General features: G+C 38.2%; 1 protein-coding gene and 1 pseudogene across 14 annotated transcripts in view, besides 1 other annotated feature; both read left to right on the top strand.

The window, feature by feature from the left end:
- SLC9C1 (solute carrier family 9 member C1) overlaps positions 1-18753 on the top strand; it is a 153319-nt gene that overhangs the window by 33416 nt on the left and 101150 nt on the right. For 12 of the 14 annotated variants that reach the window (XM_011512718.2, NM_001320531.2, XM_017006247.2 and 9 more), the window contains one exon: positions 16725-16806. The exons of the other annotated variants lie outside the window; for them this stretch is intronic. In XM_011512718.2, the coding sequence (XP_011511020.1) occupies positions 16725-16806 (82 nt within the window). The remainder of the gene's footprint in view (positions 1-16724; positions 16807-18753) is intronic. 14 annotated transcript variants of the gene reach the window in all.
- Positions 12493-12582: a silencer, noted in NCBI's record as "silent region_14603". NCBI's record gives its function as "represses an Ori minimal core promoter by ATAC-STARR-seq in GM12878 lymphoblastoid cells {active_cell/tissue: GM12878}" and the evidence as "EXISTENCE:reporter gene assay evidence [ECO:0000049][PMID:35858748]".
- On the top strand, positions 12857-14836 carry LOC100532749 (ubiquitination factor E4A (UFD2 homolog, yeast) pseudogene; annotated as a pseudogene).

The raw sequence follows: 18753 nt of genomic DNA, 5'->3' as shown, positions 1-18753 counted from the left end.
TAAAGGCCACACAGCTCTGGCAGATACTTAAGTTCTGACTAGCCATGGTGTATAAACCTCACTGAAAACCACATAGGTTAAGTTGTGAATCCAGAAAGACCATGTCTTAGAAATAAGAATTATGCCCTAAAGAAATGTGTATTTTAGACCCATTTGAAGAAAGACTAGAATCACGCCTTAGTAGGATAATGTGACCTGCCAGCAAATTAACTGCCTGACACAAAACTCAGAAACTCTTTACAGGAAGACAATGTAATCAAGACTCTCAAGAATGTGACATCCACAATATGTAGCCTAAAATCTAATATTACTATGCATGTGAAGAAGCAGGAAAATGTGGTCTATTACTAAGGGAAAAAATTATTCAATAGAAACGACCCAAAGGTGACACAGATGTTGGAACCAGCAATACTTTAAAAAATATACTCAAGAATCTAAAGAAAAAAATGGACATAGGAAATGAAGATATGGGATATTTCAGTGAAGAATTGAAACCATAAAAAAACTAAAGAAAAATTCTAGAAATAAGAAATATCCAAACTAAAAATTTTCGTTATGAGCTTCATGGCAGATTGGACTGTGCAGAAGAAAAAAAATAAGTTCTAAGTTGATATGTTCTACAAGAGTGAGAAAATATATGAAGCAAAAACTGATAAACCTAAAGGGAGAAATAGATAAATTATAATTGGACACTTTAATACTCCTCTATATAACTCAACAAATTATAGAACAACTAGACAGAAAATCAGCAAAGACATGAAAGAATTGAAATCATCATTGACAAATAGGATCCAATTGATATTTATGGAAATTATATCAATTGATGCAGAAAAAGCATTTTACAAAATGTAAAATCCATTCATGATAAAAACTTCAAAACATAAGAATAGAAGGGAATTTTCTAATGTTGATAGAGAACATCTGTAAAAAGTCTGTAGGTAACAACATAATTAATAGTGAAAGACTGTTTTCCCTTTAAGATTTGGAGCAATGTAAAAATGTCTACTTTTTCTTTTTGTAAAACTTTATTTTAGGTTCAGGGATACATGTGCAGGTTTGTTGTATGGGTAAATTGCATGGCATGGAAGTTTGGTGTACAGATCATTTCACCCAGGAAATAAACATAGTACCCGATAGATATTTTTTCCATTCTCACCCTCCTCCCAACCTCCACCCTCAAGTAAGCCCAGTGTCTGTTGTTTTCTTCCTTGTGTCCATGTGTACTCAATGTTTAGCTCCCACTTATAAGTGTGATACATGGTATTTGGCTTTCTGTTCTTGTGTTAGTTCACTTAAGATAATGATCTCCACCTCCATCCATGTTGCTGCAAAGGACACGAGGACATGGTCTTGGTTTATGTTTTTTGCTTTTTTTTTTTTTTTTAGATAGGTAAACTCATGTCACAGTGGTTTGTTGTAGAGAATATTTTATCACCCAGGTACCAAGCCTAGTTCCCAATAGTTATTTTTTTTCCAATCCTCTCCCTTCTCCTATCCTCCACCTTCAAGTAGTCCCCACTATCTGTTGTTCCCTTCTTTGTGTCCATATGTTCTCATCATTTAGCTCCCACTTATAAGTAAGAACATGCAGTATTTGGTTTTCTGTTCCTGCGTTAGTTTACTAAAGATAATGGCCTCCAGCTCTGTCCATTTTCCTGCAGGACATGATCTCATTCTTTTATGTGGCTGCATAATATTCTAATGTGGTTTGGCTTTGTGTCCCCACCCAAATCTCATGTTGAATTGTAATTCCCAATGTTAGGGGAGGGACCTCGTGACTGGATCATGGGGGTGGATTTCCCCCTTACTGTTCTCATGATAGTGAGTGAGTTCTCATGAGATCTGGTTGTTTAAAAATGTGTAGCACTTCCCCTTTGACTCCCTCTCTCTCCTGCTCTGCCATGTGAAGATTTTGCCTGCTTTTCCCCTTTGCCTTCTGCCGTGATTGTAAGTTTCCTGAGTCCTCCCCAGCCATGCTTCCTGTACACTCTGCAGAATCATGAGCCAATTAAACCTTTCTTCTTTATAAATTACCCAGTCTGGCTGGGTATGGTGGCTCATGCCTGTAATCTCAGCACTTTAGGAGGCTGAAGTGGGTGGATCACTTGAGGTCAGGAGTTTGAGACCAGCCCAGCCAACATGATGAAACCCTGTCTCTACTAAAAATACAAATACCTGTAAAACTAAAAATAAAAATACAAATAGCCTGTGTGGTGGTGCGCACCTGTAGTCCCAGATACTCAGGAGACCGAGACATGAGAATCTCTTGAACCCTAAAGGTGGAGGTTGCCGTGAGCTGAGATTGCACTGTTGCACTCCAGCCTGGGCGACAGAGTGAGACTCCATCTCAAAAACAAAAACAAAAACAAAAAAACCCAAACAAACAAACAAACAAAAAAACCCACCCAAATCTCAGGTAGTTCTTGATAGCAATGTGAGACTGGACTAATACATATTCTGTGGTGTATATGTACATTTTCTTTATCCAATCTGCCATGGTGGGCATTTAGGTTAATTCTATATCTTTGCTATTTGTGAATAGTGCTGCAATGAGCATAGGCATGCATGTGTCTTTATGGTAGAACAATTTATATTCTTTTGGGCATATACACAGGAATGGGATTGCTGGGTCAAATGGTAATTCTGATTTTAGCTCTTTGAAGAATTGCCACACTGCTTTCCACAATGATTGAACTACCTTACACTCCCACTAACTGTATAAGTGTTCAGTTTTCTCTGCAACCTCGCCAGCATTTGTTATTTTTTGACTTTTTAATAATAGCTATTCTGACTGGTGTGAGATGGTATCTCATAATGGTTTTGATTTGCATTACTCTAATGATCAATGATACTGAGCTTTTTAAAATATGCTTGTTAGCTGCATGTACGTCTTCTTTTGAAAACTGTCTGCTCATGTCCTTTACCTACTTTTAATGGGGTTGTTTTCTTGTAAATTTGTTTAAGTTCCTTATAAATGCTGGATATTAGACCTTTGTCAGATGCATAGTTGGCAAATATTTTCTCCCATTCTGTAGGTTTTATATTTACTCTGTTGATAGTTTCTTTTGCTGTGCAGAAACTCTTACGTTTAATTAGATCAATTTTATCAAGTTTTGCTTTTGTTGTGATTGCTGTTGGCATCTTTGTCATGAAATCTTTGCCACTATCTATGTCCAGCATGGTATTGCCTAGGTCGTCTTCCAGGGTTTTTATAGCTTTGAGTCTTACATTTAAGTCTTTAATCTATCTTGAGTTGATTTTCTTATGTAGTGTAACGAAGGGGTCCAGTTTCTACCTTCTGTATATGGCTAGCTAGTTATCCCAAAACCATTTATTGAATAGGGAGTCCTTTCCCTATTGCTTCTTTTTGACAGCCTTGTCCAAGATAAGATGGTTGTAGGTGTGCAGCCTTATTTCTGGGCCCTCTCTTCTACTCTGTTGGTATAAATGTCTGTTTTTGTACCAGTACCCATGCAGTTTTGATTACTGTAGCCCTGTTGGACATTTTGAAGTCAGGTAATGTGATGCCTCCAACTTTGTTCTTTCTGCTTAGTATTACCCTGGCTATTTGGGCTCTTTTTGGTTCCATACGAATTTTAAAATAGATTTTTCTAGTTCTGTGAATGTCATTGTTAGTTTGATAAGAATAGCATTCAATTTGTAAATTCTTTGGGGCAGTATGTCCATTTTAATGATATTGATTCTTCCTATCCATGAACATGGATTATTTTCCATTCATTTGTGTCATCTCTGATTTCATTGGGCAGAATTTTGTAATTCTCATTGTAGAGATTTTTTACCCCACTGGTTAGCTATATTCTTAGGTATTATTTGGGCAATTATGAATGGGATTGAATTCTTGATTTGGCTCTTGGCTTGGTTGGTGGTGGTGCATAAGAATGCTGATGAATTTTGTATGATGATTTTGTATCCTGAAATTTTGCTGAAGCTGTTTACCAGTTGATGGAGATTTGGGCCAACTATGGGGTTTTCTAGATACAGAATCATGTCATCTGCAAATAAGGATAATTTGACTTCTTTTCCTATTTGGATGCACTTTATTTCTTTCTCTTGCCTGATTGACCTGGCCAGGACTTCCGGTACTATAATGAGTAGGACTGGTGAGAGAGGGCATCCTTGTCTTGTGCCAGTATTCAAGAAGAATGCATCTAGCCTTTGCCTACTCAGTATGATATTGGCTGTGGGTTTGTCATAAAGGGCTCTTATTATTTTGAGGTATGGTCCTTCGATACCTAGTAGATTGAGAGTTTTTAACAGGAAGAGATGTTGAATTTTATCAGTCTTTTCTGCATCTATGGAGATCATCATATAGTTTGTCTTAACTTCTGTTCTGATCAATAACATTTATTTATTTGCATATATTGAACCAACCTTGCATCCCAATCAAGCCTACTTGATTGTGGTGGCTTAGCTTTTCCATGTGCTGCTGGATTTTGGTTTACTAGTATTTTGTTGAGGATTTTTGCATCAATGTTCATCAAGCATATTGGCCTTAAGTTTTCTTTTTTGTTGTTTCTCTGCCAGGTTTTGATATTAGGATGATGCTAGCCTCATAGAATGATTTGGGGAGGAGTTTTTCCTTCTCCATTTTTTGGAATAGTTTAAGTAGAAATGGTACCAACTCTTCTTTGTGTATCTGGTAGAATTAGCCTGCAAATTTGTCTGGTCCATGGCTTTTTTTGGTTGGTCTATTTGTTACTGATTCAATTTGGGAACTCACTACTGGCCTGTTCAGGGAAACACTTTCTTCCTGGTTGAGGCTTGGAAAGATGTATGTGTCTAGGAACTTATCCATCTCTTCTAGGTTTTCTAGTTTGTGTGCATAGGGGTGTTCATAGTAGTCTCTGATGGTTATTTGTATTTTTGTGGGGTCAGTGGTAGCATACACTTTGTCATTTTTAATTGGGCTTATTTGAATGTTCTCTTCTTTATTAGTCTAGCTAGAAGCTTATCTGTCTTATTAATTTTTTCATAAATAAAAAGAACCACCGCATCCATTGATCTTTTGAATGATTTTTTGTGTGTGTTTTGATCTCCTCGGTTCAGCTCTGATTTTGGTTATTTCTTATCTTCTGTTAGCTTTGGGACTGGTTTGCTCTTGCTTCTCTAGTTCTTTTAGTTGTGATTTTAGGTTGTTAACTTGAGATCTTTCTTTTTGATTTGGGCGTTTCATGATATAAATTTCTCTCTTGACATTGCCTTAGCTGTGTCCCAGAAATTCTGGTATGTTGTCTTTTTGTTCATATTAGTTTTGAAGAACTTCTTGATTTCTGCCTTTATTTTATTATTTACCCAAAACTCATTAAGAAGCAGGTTGTTTAATTTCCATGTAATTGGATGGTTTTGAGTAGTTTTTTAGCCTTAATTTCTGTTTTTATTGTGCTGTGATCTTAGAGTGTGTTCAGTATGATTTTTTTCTATTGCATTTGCTGAGGATTGTTTTACGTTTGATTGTGTGGTTGATTTTAGACTTTTTGCCATGTGGTGATGAGAAGAATGTATATTCTGTTGTTTTTTGATGGAGAATTCTATAGAGGTCCATAAGGTCCATTTGGTCCAATGCTGAGTTCAGATCCTGAATATCTTTGTTCATTTTCTGCCTTAATGATACGTTTGCTACTGTCCGTGGAGTGTGAAAGTCTCCCACTATTCTTGTGTGGGAGTATAAGTCTCTTTGTAGGTCTCTAAGAACTTGGTTTATGAATCTCAGTGCTCCTCTGTTAGGTGCATTAATATTTAGTATAGTTAGGTCTTCTTATTGAATTGAACCCTTTACCATTGTGTAATGCCCTTCTTTGTGTTTTTAAAAACTTTGTTGTTTTAAGTCTGTTTTGTCTGCAAATAGGATTGTTTAACTCCTGCTTTTTTTTTGTTTTCCATTTGCTTGGAAAATATTTTATTTTGAGCCTATGAGTGTCACTGCAGATGAAAGGGGTCTCTCGAAGACAGCACACCATTGGCTCTTGGTTCTTTATCCAGCTTGCTGCTCTCTGTCTTTTAAATGGGGCATTTAACCCATTTATAGTCAAGGTTATTATTGATATGTGTGGATTTGATCTTGCCATTGTGTTGTTAGCTGGTTATTATGTCAGTTTGTTTGTATAGTTGCTTTATTGTGTCACTAGTCTATGTATTTATGTGTGTTTTTGTGTTGGCTGTCAGTGATCTTTCCTTTCTATATTTAGTGCTTTTTTCCAGATCTCTTGCAAGGCAAGTCTGTTGGTAACCAACTCCTTCAGTATTTGCTTATCTGAAATAAAAAAAATTTATTTCATGTTCACTTAGGAAGCTTAGTTTGGCTGGATATGAAATTATTGGTTGACGATTTTTTGTCTAAGAATGTTGAATATAAGCCCCCAGTCACTTCTGGCTTGTAGGATTTCTACTGAGAGATCCACTGTTAGCCTGATGGGGTTCCTTTTGTAGGCGACCTGCCCTTTCTCTCTAGCTGCCTTTAATTTTCTTTTCTTCATTTTGACATTGTAAAATCTGATGATTGTGTGTCTTGGGGATGATCTTCTTGTATAGAATCTTGCAAGGGTTCTCTGTATTTCCTGAATTTGACTGTTGGCCTCTCTAGCAAGTTTGGAGAAGTTTCATGAACAATTTTCTGAAATATGTGTTTTAAGTTGTTTGCTTTCTCCTCATTCCTTGCAGGGATGCCAATAATTTGTAGTTTTACCCCTTTACATAATCCCATATTTTTCAGAAGTTTTGTTTAAACTTTTTCATTCTTTTTTCATTTTTATCTGACTGTCTTATTTCATGGATCAAGCCTTCAAGTTCCAAGATTCTTTCCTCATCTTGGTTTATTCTGCTGTTAATACTGGCAATAACCTTGTGGAATTTTTGTAGTGTGCTTTTCAGCTCTCTCAGATCAGATCTGTGTATCATTTTATTGTGATTCTTAGCTTCCTCGGATTGGTTTTGCCATTCTTCTGAATCTTGATGATATTCATTACTATCCACATTCTGAATTCTATTTCTGTTGTCTCAGCCAACTCACCCTGGTTAAGAACCCATGTCGGAGAACTAGTGTGGTCATTTGGAGGATATAAGACACTCTGGCCATTTGAGTTGACAGAGTTCTTGCATTGGTTCTTTCTCATCTCTGTGTTTGGGTGTCCCTTTAGCTGTGGTGCAGATTGTGTGCAGTCAGTAGACTTCTTTTCTGAATGTTTTCATTGGGCCAAGGCTTTCTGCAGAGTCTTTATTTGCAAATGACTTCTTGTCTTTGGTTTCACAGGGCAGATATGTTAGTGAGGAGGTATTTTTGGTGTTGAAACTTTGGGGTGTGAACCAGTAGGTGGTGGTTAGGTATTGTGGTCAGTTGGTGGGCTCTTGCTTGGTCACATGGCTCCCCTACATTTCCTTACAGTTGCAGCCATGCTCTCTGTCAATGCCCTGAACATGTGGGCTCCTTTCCTACTTGAGTGCTGGCTGTAGATCACAAATTGGCACTCCAAGGCTGCCTACCACAGCTCTTGTGTGATCTCACTGTTGCCTTCCCCAACTTGGCGGCAACAGTGGAAATGACCTTAGCAGTGGTTGTGGATGAAGGTCTTTTGCCTGTCTGCTGGGGGTTCTACCCCAGAGAGATGCAGGTGAGTAATCATTCAGTGCAATTGTCCAGAATGCGGGATCTGTGCTGTGGGCCCAAGCTTAGTGAGGAGACATAGGTTTAAGGGCCCACATAACAGTCTGGTTACTTTTTCGTAAGGATGCTGTGGTATGCTGGCAGTCATCACCAGTCCCTAGTCTCCTCAGATTTTCCAGGACCTGAAGGTATCATTAGTGATGGCTGTGAAACAGAAAAATGGTGGCCTGCTCCTCCCCCTCCCTTTGGGAACTCCAACCCAGGGAGGTACAGACATTTTGCCAGCCTGAACACACCAGCAGGAGGTGGCTGGAGTCTCCACTTGGTAGATCTCGCCTACTGTGGAGGAATGGGATCATGGACCCACTTAAAAAAGCAGTCTGACCTATTTTCCCAAGGGCAGCAGTGCTTTGCTGGCAGTTCACTCCAGTCCCTGGTCACCTTGACTCTCTAAAGCCTGAAGGCAACAATGGCTAAGGCTACTAAACAGCAAAGATGGCAGTCTACTCCACCTTCTGAGAGCTCTGTCCCAGAGAGTTCTGAAATTGCTGCTGACCAGAAAACACCAGCAGGGGTGGCTGGAGACCCCAATCAGGATATCCCACCCAGTGAGAAGGATCAAAATCAGGAACCTGCATAAAAAGGCATTCTGTCTGCTTTTTCATAGAGCAATTGTGCTGTTCTGGGGGTCTGCTTAAACCTCCAGTTGCTTCACACTCTCCAAAGCCTAAAGGCCACCATGCTTAAGTTGAGAAACAGCAAAGATGGTGGCCTACCTCTCCCTCTGGTAGCCCCATCCCAGGGAGGTTGGAAACTGCTGCTGACCAGAAAACACTGGTGGGGGTGGTCATAGACTGTGGTCAGGAAATTCTGCCTGGGGAAGAGAACTAGGACCTCGGACCCATGTGAAAATGCAGTCTGGCTGTTTATCCATAGAGCAGCTGCACTGTTCTGGGGGACTTTTCCAGTCCCTAGTCACCTCAGAATCCCTAGAGCTCAAAGGCAACAATGGCTAAGGCTGTGTAACAGCAAAGATGGTGGCCCATCCCTCCCACAGGGACCTCCATCCCAGGGAGGCTGGGAACCACTGCAACCCAGAAAACACTGGCTAGGGTGACTGGAGAGCCCAGTCTACAGTCTGACATGCAGAGCTACATGGAATATTAGCAGAGCAGCCACTCATATGGAGCCCTGGGCAATTTAGATACCTGGGCTTCCCAGCAAAAGTGGCAGCAATTTGAGCAAGGTTGGGGGTTAGATCCCTGTCCATACCTCTAGGAAAGGAGATGATTCAGGGGGCTGACCCAAGAGTTGCAAAGATCCATGGGAGAAGCATGGATACCCAGAATCACTCATTCACTCACCTGCCCAGAGAGGAGAAGCAGGATCATGGACCTGTGTAAAAAAGCAAGCTGGCTACTCTTCCACAGGGCAGCTGCACTAAAGGCAACAATGGCTAAGGCTATGAAACAGCAAAGATGGTGGCTTGCACCTCCCTCTCAGAGCTTGGTCTCAGGGAGGTGTAATGCTGCTACTGGTGGATGACTGAAGTTTCAAGCAGTGGGTCTTATCCCAGGAGATGCCATGGGAGTGATGCCTGTAGACCATTGCTACTCAGGCCTCCTGGATCACCTCCTTTCCTAGAGTACGTTCAGGAGTCTAATCTCTGACTTTGCTGAAGTTGCAGCCACTTTTGCTGGGAACCCCAAGTATCTGAAGCACCTAGGGCTCCACGTGTGCTTGGATGGCTGCTCTGCTAAGACTCCATGTTAGACTGAAGGCCTTGATGGAGTCGGTTCATGAGGGGATTTCCTGACCTGAGGGTTGCAAAGATCCATGGGAGAAGAATGGGTGCCCGGAATCAGTCACTCACACACCACTTCCCTGTGTAGGGGAGGCTCCCCTGACTCTGTGTCACTCCTAGGTGGGTGGTCATCCTGCCTTGATTTTCCTTGTTCTCTGTGGGTCAAGTTTTTTGCTTTATGAATCCCAGTGTGTGTACCTGGATGTTTCAGCTGAAAACACTGTATTTACTCACCCCTTCTATTTCTCTCCATGATAGAGGTGCATACTAGCTGCTTCTAGCCAGCCATCTTGGTCAGTTTCCCAATCTTGTTCTTTTTATGACTGCATAGTATTCCATGGTGTATCTGTACCACATTTTCTTTATCCAGTCTACAATTGATGGGCATTTTGCTTGATTTCATGTATTTACTCTTGTGAATAGTGCTGTGATGAACATACACATGCATATGTCTTTATGGTAGAACAATTTATATTCTCTTAGATAAATACCCAATAATGGGATTGCTGGGTCGAATGGTAGTTCCAAGTTCTTTGAGAAGTCACCAAACTGCTTTCCACTGTGGCTGCCTTAATTTACATTCCCACCAGCAGTATATAACTGTCCCTTTTTCTCTGCAAACTTGCCAGCACCGGTTATTTCTTGACTTTTTAGTAATAACCAGTCTGAGTGGTGTGAGGTGGCATCTCATTGTGGTTTTGATTTGCACTTCTCTGGTGATAGCGATTTTCACATGTTTCACGTGTGTGTTGGCCATCTATATGTCTACATTCTTTTTTGAGTTGTGAAAAACCATAGACACAACAGGTGCTGGAGAGGATGTGGAGAAATAGGAACACTTTTACACTGTTGGTGGGACTGTAAACTAGTTCAACCATTGTGGAAGTCAGTGTGGTGATTCCTCAGGGACCTAGAACTAGAAATACCATTTGACCCAGCCATCCCATTACTAGGTATATACCCAAAGGATTATAAAACATGCTGCTATAAAGACACATGCACAGGTATGTTTATTGTGGCACTATTCACAATAGCAAAGACTTGGAACCAACCCAAATGTCCAACAATGATAGACTGGATTAAGAAAATGTGGCACATATACACCATGGAATACTATGCAGCCATAAAAAATGATGAGTTCACGTCCTTTGTAGGGACATGGATGAAGCTGGAAACCATCATTCTCAGCAAACTGTCGCAAGGACAAAAAACCAAACACCGCATGTTCTCACTCATAGGTGGGAATTGAACAATGAGAACACATGGACACAGGAAGGGGAACATCACACACTGGGGACTGTTGTGGGGTGGGGGGAGGGGGAGGGATAGCATTAGGAGATATACCTAATGCTAAATGACGAGTTAATGGGTGCAGCACACCAACATGTCACATGTATACATATGTAACTAACCTGCACGTTGTGCACATGTACCCTAAAACTTAAAGTATAATTTAAAAAAAAACATAGAAAACATCGATGAAACCAGAAGTTGGTTATCTGAAACAATAAATAAGATTGATAGGTTGCTAGCTAGACTAATAAAGAATAAAAGAGATTATCCAAATAAACACAATCAGAAATGACTTAGAGGACATTACCACCAACCCCACAGAAATACAAGAATCCCTCAGAAAATGCTGTGAACACCTCTGCACACAAACTAGAAAACCTACAAGAAATAGATAAATTATTGGAAACAACAAACTCCCAAGATTAAACCAGGAATAAATTGAAACCCTGAACAGACCAATAACGAGTTCCAAAATTGATTCTGCATCTAATAACCTACCAACTAGAAAAAGCCCAAACAAATTCATAGATGAATTGTACTTTAAAGAGCTGGTACCACTTCTACTAAAACTATTCCAAAAAATTTAGAATAGACTCCTCTCTAACTTACACTATGAGGCCAGCATCATCCTAATAGCAAAACCTGGCAGAGCTAGCAGAGACACAACAGAAAAATAAAACTTCGGGCCAATATCCTTGAAGAATATAGATGCAAAAATCCTCAACAAAATACTGACATACCCAATCCAGCAACAAATCAAAAAGCTAATCTACCCATGATCTAGTAGGCTTTATCCTTTGGATGCCAGGTAGATTCAATACATACAAATAAGTAAATGTGATTCATCACATAAACAGAACTAAAAACTGGAATCATGTGATTACTTCAATAGATGCAGAAAAGGCTTTTGATAAAATCCAACATTACTTCATGTTCAAAACCCTTAAAAATCTAGACATTGAAGGAAGATACCTCAAAATAAGAAGAGCCCTCTATGACAAGCCCACAACCAACATCATACAGAATCAGCAAAAGCTGGAAGCATTCCCCTTGAGAGCTGGAACAAAACAAGGATGCCCATTTTCACCATTCCTGTTCAACACAGTTCTGAGAGTCCTAGCCAGAGCAATCAGGCAAGAGAAAGAAATAAAAGGCACCTAAATAAGAAGAGATTAAGTAAAACTATCTTTGTGTGCAGAAGATATGATTTTATACATAGAAAACTTTTTGTGAAATAGAGTTTGAAGAAAACTACTTTAATCGGATAGAGGGGATTTATTTAAAAAGAAAAACTTAAAAGCTTAATGATAAGTGACACTTAATGGTTGAATACTGAATACTTTCCCTTAAGTTTCAAATAAGGGCAAATATATCTGCTTTCTTCATTTTTGTGGAACATTATGCTCAATGTCCTACCTCAGGCAATAGGGAGAAAAAAGGCACACAAACTGGTAGATACTAAATAACCAGTAGAACTAATAAGTGAATTTAGCGAAATCATGAAATTCATGTTCAGTATACAAAACTAAATTATATTTTTATATACTAGCAACTAACAGAAAAATGAAATAAAGAACATAATAATGGCATCAAAAACATGTCATAGTAACAAAAATAATGAAATACATATGTATCAGTTATCATTATCTATGGCTATGTAAAAAAATTGTCCCAAAATTCAGTGGCTTGAAACAAGAAACATTTATTATCTCAGTTTCTGTGAGTCAAGAATATGAGTATAAATTAACTGAGTGCCTCTGATTGTTTCTCTCATAAACTTGCATTTAAGCATAAATTGGGAGTGCAGCCATCAAAAGGCTCAACTGGGGCTAGAGAATCTGCTTCTAAGCTGATTGTGTGGTTTTGTTGACAAGATTCAGTTGTTTGAAGGCAGTGAACTAAGGGCTTTAGTTTCTTGTTGACTCTTGGCCAGAAGCCTCTTTGTCATTTGGACCTCTCCATAGGTCAGCTTGCAATATGGTAGCTGGCTTCTCTCAGAATGAATAAGCAAGAGAGCTAGAGAGAGCAAACCCTCAAGACGGAAGCCACGGTCTTTTTATAACCTAATTTTGAAAGTCACTTCCCATTACTTCTTCATATTCTATTTATTAGAAGTGAGTCAATACGTCTAGTCCATATTTAAGATGACTAAGTAATATCAACAGTATATTTCAGCGTGTGAGATACACACACACACACACACACACACACACTCAAGAGTAAACTGAGTACCACTTTACATTTTCTCTTCCAGAGTGAGATGTATGCAGTATGTGGCCATGTTTGCTAACATACTCATTCTTGACAAAGTTCTGATATTATAAAATGTATATGGTTAATATTTGGGCTTGTGACCTGACTTCTAAGAGCTGCTTCTATCACAGAGTTAGGCATTCAATTAACAAAGTAGGAATTTGAGCACAACCTTGTCCACAAGACATTTTAAATATCCACTTAGCCTGGTGTAGTTAGTAGGTGGATGGACGCCACTTTCATAAGTTGAGCTTGAGCTCACTACTCAATTGTGCAGCTTAATATGCTGAGTAGGGACACTCCCCTATGGGTTGTCTTTATATCACCATCTTTCTAAGCCCAGAGATGTCATAAGTGACAAGAAAAATGATAAGATTGAGAAATGGGTGTCACTGCTTCATTTGGAGCACGTTATTAACTATGGTTGAAAGATCAAATAAAATAGTTTTATATTTCAACACAAATTGCTATAAGCAGTCCTTGATGTTTTTTTGATGGTATCAGCTGGAAAGCCTCAAATCTAAGAGGGCTTTCCACCCTAGATATAAAATAGATGTTGCCTATTGCTGTGCTTATAAATGAAAAAGGAAGTTGAGGACACTTTTGCAAATGCCAGAATGTAAGATTCATTCAGTGTGCTCCCTGGGCCTCTAAAGCATGCGTTGACAGGATTTGCTTATTTTCTAAAATTAGCTTCATTCAATATTTATTATTCTCCTTTTCCTCTCTGAGAATGAACTCTGTATAAAATAAGCTTCTGCCTATTTGCATTTATCCTCCAAACCCAATCTAACAGGATGTTTTCATTTTAAAAACAAGAGGGGAAAAGACCAGAGTTTTCAGGAGAAAACTGGAGGAAAATGGGGAAGAAACCTCAGAAAGCAGCTATTCTCAGCAGCTTCCTGGTTAACAACCTTGGTGCTGCCTCTAGTCTCTGTCTGTATTCTTCTGCATTTAACCTTCAGATTGTAAGCCTTTTTGGCAAGCTTTTCTTCTGCTTTTTAAGCTCTTTTCCTGAAACTTTCTATGAAGGGCTATGGCACCATTAATGCTGCTGAATATCTTTAAACTCTTAGCACAGGCAAGTGTGTAGCTTAAGGCCACCACTGGTGAGGAAACCAAGTGTCCTCTGTGCCTTTTTTCTTTCTGTGAAGTAATTTAAGGACATCTAAAAAATTAGATTTTAAAAAGTTATCATCTTGGTACAACACTGTGTGCATATACACTTGGAAGCTTAAAAAGGTGTTTTGTCTGGAACTTAGAAGCAGCTCTAAATCTAGTAGGGCAGACTTTCTAACATACCTAGTTTTATTTATTGGCTTTGCTGGAGTATGATAGGAAAATGACGACTCTTACTCAGCTCTGGTATTGCTCATAACTTACCAAGAGGCTAATACTAAACTTGGAAAATCGTTTAAGTACATTTTATCAAGAAGTCTGGGTTTTGTTTTTTTAATATAGTTTTTAATGGATATCTCAAAACTGAAGGAAACTTTAAAGGTTTTTTAATGGTGCAGGTGAAGGTGCCAGTTGCTATTTGGTACCACACTCTACAAAAGCTTAATTACTTTACTTGATGCTGGTTGCTAAGCAGCGATTGTACAGAACATAAGCCTACTGGGTGCCTTTACAAGCCAGAGGCTGATGCTGCACTCTTGATGTCATGTGAGGAAATAATGCACATGCTCTAACTGCTCACCAGGAAATAAACCCAGAAACAGAAAATGAAGAACAAAAAGGTTGCTTGAAATAAAATATAATCAACATGACCGTATTTTGAAACATTTCAGGAAGGTTGCTTCTTGTCAAACTTGCCTGGCAGAGTTAGTTCAAAACTTGTATTTAATAAATGAACACCTGACTTACAAAAAAAAAAGATGACTAAGTATCAAGAGATGGATACCTCTGAGAGCCAAGTTAGAGGCTTCTTTCCAAAATATGCAAGACTCGTGCACTGAAAACAACATGGCATTGTTGAGACACATTTTTAAAAACCTATGTAAAATATATATTCCAATATGGATTTGAAGACTTGGAATTATTAGGATGTCACTATACTCATTGCAATTCCAATCCCAGAAGATTTTAGAAATAGATACCCAAAATCTAAACTCCATATAGAAATACAGAAAACTGAGGATAGCCCTAATAATTTTGAAAAGGAAGAACGAAATTTAAGGACTTATACTATCTGATATCAGGACTTATTATAAAAATACAGTAATTCAGTAGCATGCTGGCATAAGAATAAAAAAAGATGGAGTATAATAAGGAATTCAAAAAAGACTCACATATATGGTGAATTGGTTTTTGACACAGATTCTGAAACAGTTCAATGAGAGAAAAAATATTTTTTTCAATAAATGGTGCTGAACTACTGGATTCACTTAGAAAAAAAAAAAGAAAAACTCTATTTTTACCTCACACCATACCTAAAACTGATTTGAGATGGACCATAGACTTAAATATAAAATCAAAAACTGTAAAATTTTTTGAAGAAAATACAATGGTAACCCAATTTTTTTAAAAACGTACAACATATTTGAACAGACACTTCTTCAAAAAGAAAGATGTGTACTAATATGCATGTTAGAAGTATTCAACATTACTACTCTAAGGAAATGCAAATTAAAATCACAGTGAGACATGTCATATGCTATTTAATTTATACGAAGATTTTAGAATTGGCAATTCTTATCTACAGAAGTAGAAATCAAAATACTAGCTGCCTCTCATTGGTGAATGACTTATTAGGAAGGAGCATTAGAGAAATTTTGGGGATGTGAGATATTTTGCATCTTGATAGGATTGAGAGTTATATGAGTAGATATACACTGTCAAAACTGACAAAATGGTACTTGAGTACATTTCAATGTATGTACATTATACCTCAGATTTCCTTATTACCAATGCTTGGGCTGCACCCTTGACGAATTAGATCAGAATATTCAGTGGGGACCTCCTGAGTACCAATATCTTAAAGTTTCCCTTATGATTCTAATGTGCAACTTTGGGAGCCTCTAGTGTGGTTTCATGCTCTATCCCTAATTCCATCTGTGGATACAGAACAGAAGACTAGCTAGGGTGAAACATAAATTCTGGAAGTTGGAATTCCATAAATCCCCAAAAATGTGTAGCCTCAGATTGAAAAGTGTTAGTTCATTTGTCTATCAAGACTGACTTGAGATACAAGTAGATAAAGATATCAAGTGGCACCAAAGACATTTATTACTCCTTCTTCCTGACAATGAAAGGGTACCAGTGAGGCAAAGTGTGAGGTGGAGAAAACATATCAAGGGCCTTGAGTTGTTCTCCTTTCCCAGGTGAGGAGAATTGTTTGATGCAGATATGCTGGTAATGTTGAATAGAGAACGGTGTGGCCATGCACAGCCAGGTTTGTATAGTGGATAAGGATTGATAAAGTATAAGTGTATTCTCAGCTACCAGGAAGTGCAACAGTGGAATTCAAAGATAAATATTCCTTCCCAATGTCTGTATAAGTATTGATTTACTTGTCAAAACTTGTGTCCTAATTTCGGTTTGGTAACAAAACATGGATGAATTACATGCAGGAAGATAGAGAATACCCAGAGTGCTTTCATCTTAGATTAATTCCTCCCCTGCCATGAGCATCTATTAACACAGTACAACCTAGCTTAATTTATATTGGAAAATAGCTTAATTTATATTGGTAAATATAGGCTATATTATATGAAATTGTCATGAATACTTACTTTGTATTTTTTTCAATTCTAGATATTATTTCATGGAGTGTTAGTATGCCTAATAACCCTTGTTGTCAATAGATTTATTTTGCCAGTGGCAGTTACTATACTAGGTAAGCCCTAACAGTTACTATTCCTGTGGAGAGAAAAACATTCTAAGTATGGTAAAGAAGTGCTAATAATAAAGAAAGAATCCATATACAGCCTAGGCAACATAGTGAGACCCCCGTCTCTACAAAAAGTTTAAAAATTAGCCAGGCGTGGCAGTGCACACCTGTTGTCCTAGCTATTTGGAAGGCTGATTGGGGAGGATCGCTGGAACCCAGGAGGCTGATGCTGCAGTGAGGCAAGATCACACCACTGCACTCCACCCTGGGCAAGAGAGCAAGACCCTGTCTCAAAAAAAAAAAAAAAGAATCCATATAAATTATATAAATACAAGTCAGTGGTGCCTAATTTTTTTCAAATTTTATTTGACATGTGCAGGTTGGTTACATGGGTATATTGTGTGATGCTGAGGTTTGAGGTACAGATCTCATCACCAAGGTAGTGACCACAGTACCCAAAAGGTAGCTTTTCAACTCACATCCCATTTCTCTTTCCCCACTCTAGTACTCCCTGGTATCCACTATTCCCATCTCTATGTTCATGTGTACTCAATGTTTAGTTCCCACAAAAGATATTGGATTTTCTGCTCCTGCATTAATTCACTTAGGATAGTGGTCTCTGGCTTTATCCATGTTGCGGCAAAGGGCATAATCTTGTTCTTTTTTATGGCTGCATAGTATTCAATGGTGTATCTGTACCACATTTTCTTTATCCATTCCACCATTGATGGACACTTAGGTTGATTCCATCTCTTTGCTATTGTGAATAATGCTGTGATGAACATACAAGTGAATGTATCTTTTTTGTAGAATGATATATTTTCCTTTGGCTATCTTGGGGTGGCTAGCTTGAATGGTAGTTCTGTTTATAGTTATTTGAGAAATCTCCAAACTGCTTTCCACAGTGGCTGAACTAATTTACATTCTCCTTTCTCACCAACAGTATATGTGTTCCCTTTTCCCCACAGCCTTGCCAGCATCTGTTATTTTTTGACTTTTTAATAATAACCATTCTAACTGGTGTGAGATGGTATCTCATTGTGATTTTGATTTGCATTTCTTTTATGATTAGTGATGATGAGCATTTTTTCATGTGTTTGTTGGCCACTTGTATGCCTTCTTTTGAGAAGTGTCTGTTCATGTTCTTTGCCCATTAAGACTTTTTTTTCGTTTTAATTTTTGTGGATACATAGTAGTTGTATATATTTATGGGGTGCATGAGATATTTTGATACGGGTATAGAATGTGTAATAATCAATTAGGGTAAATGGAGTATCCATCACCTCAGGTGTTTATCCTTTGTGTTACAAACAATCCAATTGTGCTCTTTTAGTTATTTTTAAATGCACAATTAATTATTCTTGACTATAGTCACCCTATCGTGCTATCAAATGCCAGATCTTTTTCATTCTTTCTATTTTTTGAATGCATTAACCACCCAAATTTCCCCTTACCTCCCCACTACTCTTCACAGGCTCTGGTTAATCATCATTCTACTCTCTATCTCCATAAGTTTAATTGTTTTAATTTTTAGCTCCCACAAATAAGTGAGAACATGCAAAGTTTTTCTTTCTGTGCCTGGCTTATTTCACTTAACATGACCTCCAGTTCCATCCATGCTGTTGCAAATGACAGGATCTCATTCTTTTTAATAGCTTAATGGTATGCCATTGTGTATATGTATATTTTCTTTATCCATTCATCTGTTGATGGACACTTAACCTTTGCCAATTTTTAAATGGGATTGTTTTTTGCCTGTTGCTTTAAGTTCCTTGTAGATTCTGGATATAAGACCTTTGTTAGATGTATAGTTTGCTAATCTATTCTCCCATTTTATAGGTTGTCTGTTTACTCTATTAATAGTTTCTTTTGCTTTGCAGAAACTCTCTAGTTTAATTAGGTGTTGCTTGTCAATTTTTGTTTTGTTACAATTTTTTTGGGGACTTAGCCAAA

The sequence above is a fragment of the Homo sapiens genome, chromosome 3 (assembly GCF_000001405.40).
Source record: "Homo sapiens chromosome 3, GRCh38.p14 Primary Assembly".
Taxonomy (NCBI): domain Eukaryota; kingdom Metazoa; phylum Chordata; class Mammalia; order Primates; family Hominidae; genus Homo; species Homo sapiens.
This window is presented reverse-complemented; position numbering and strand designations above follow the sequence as displayed.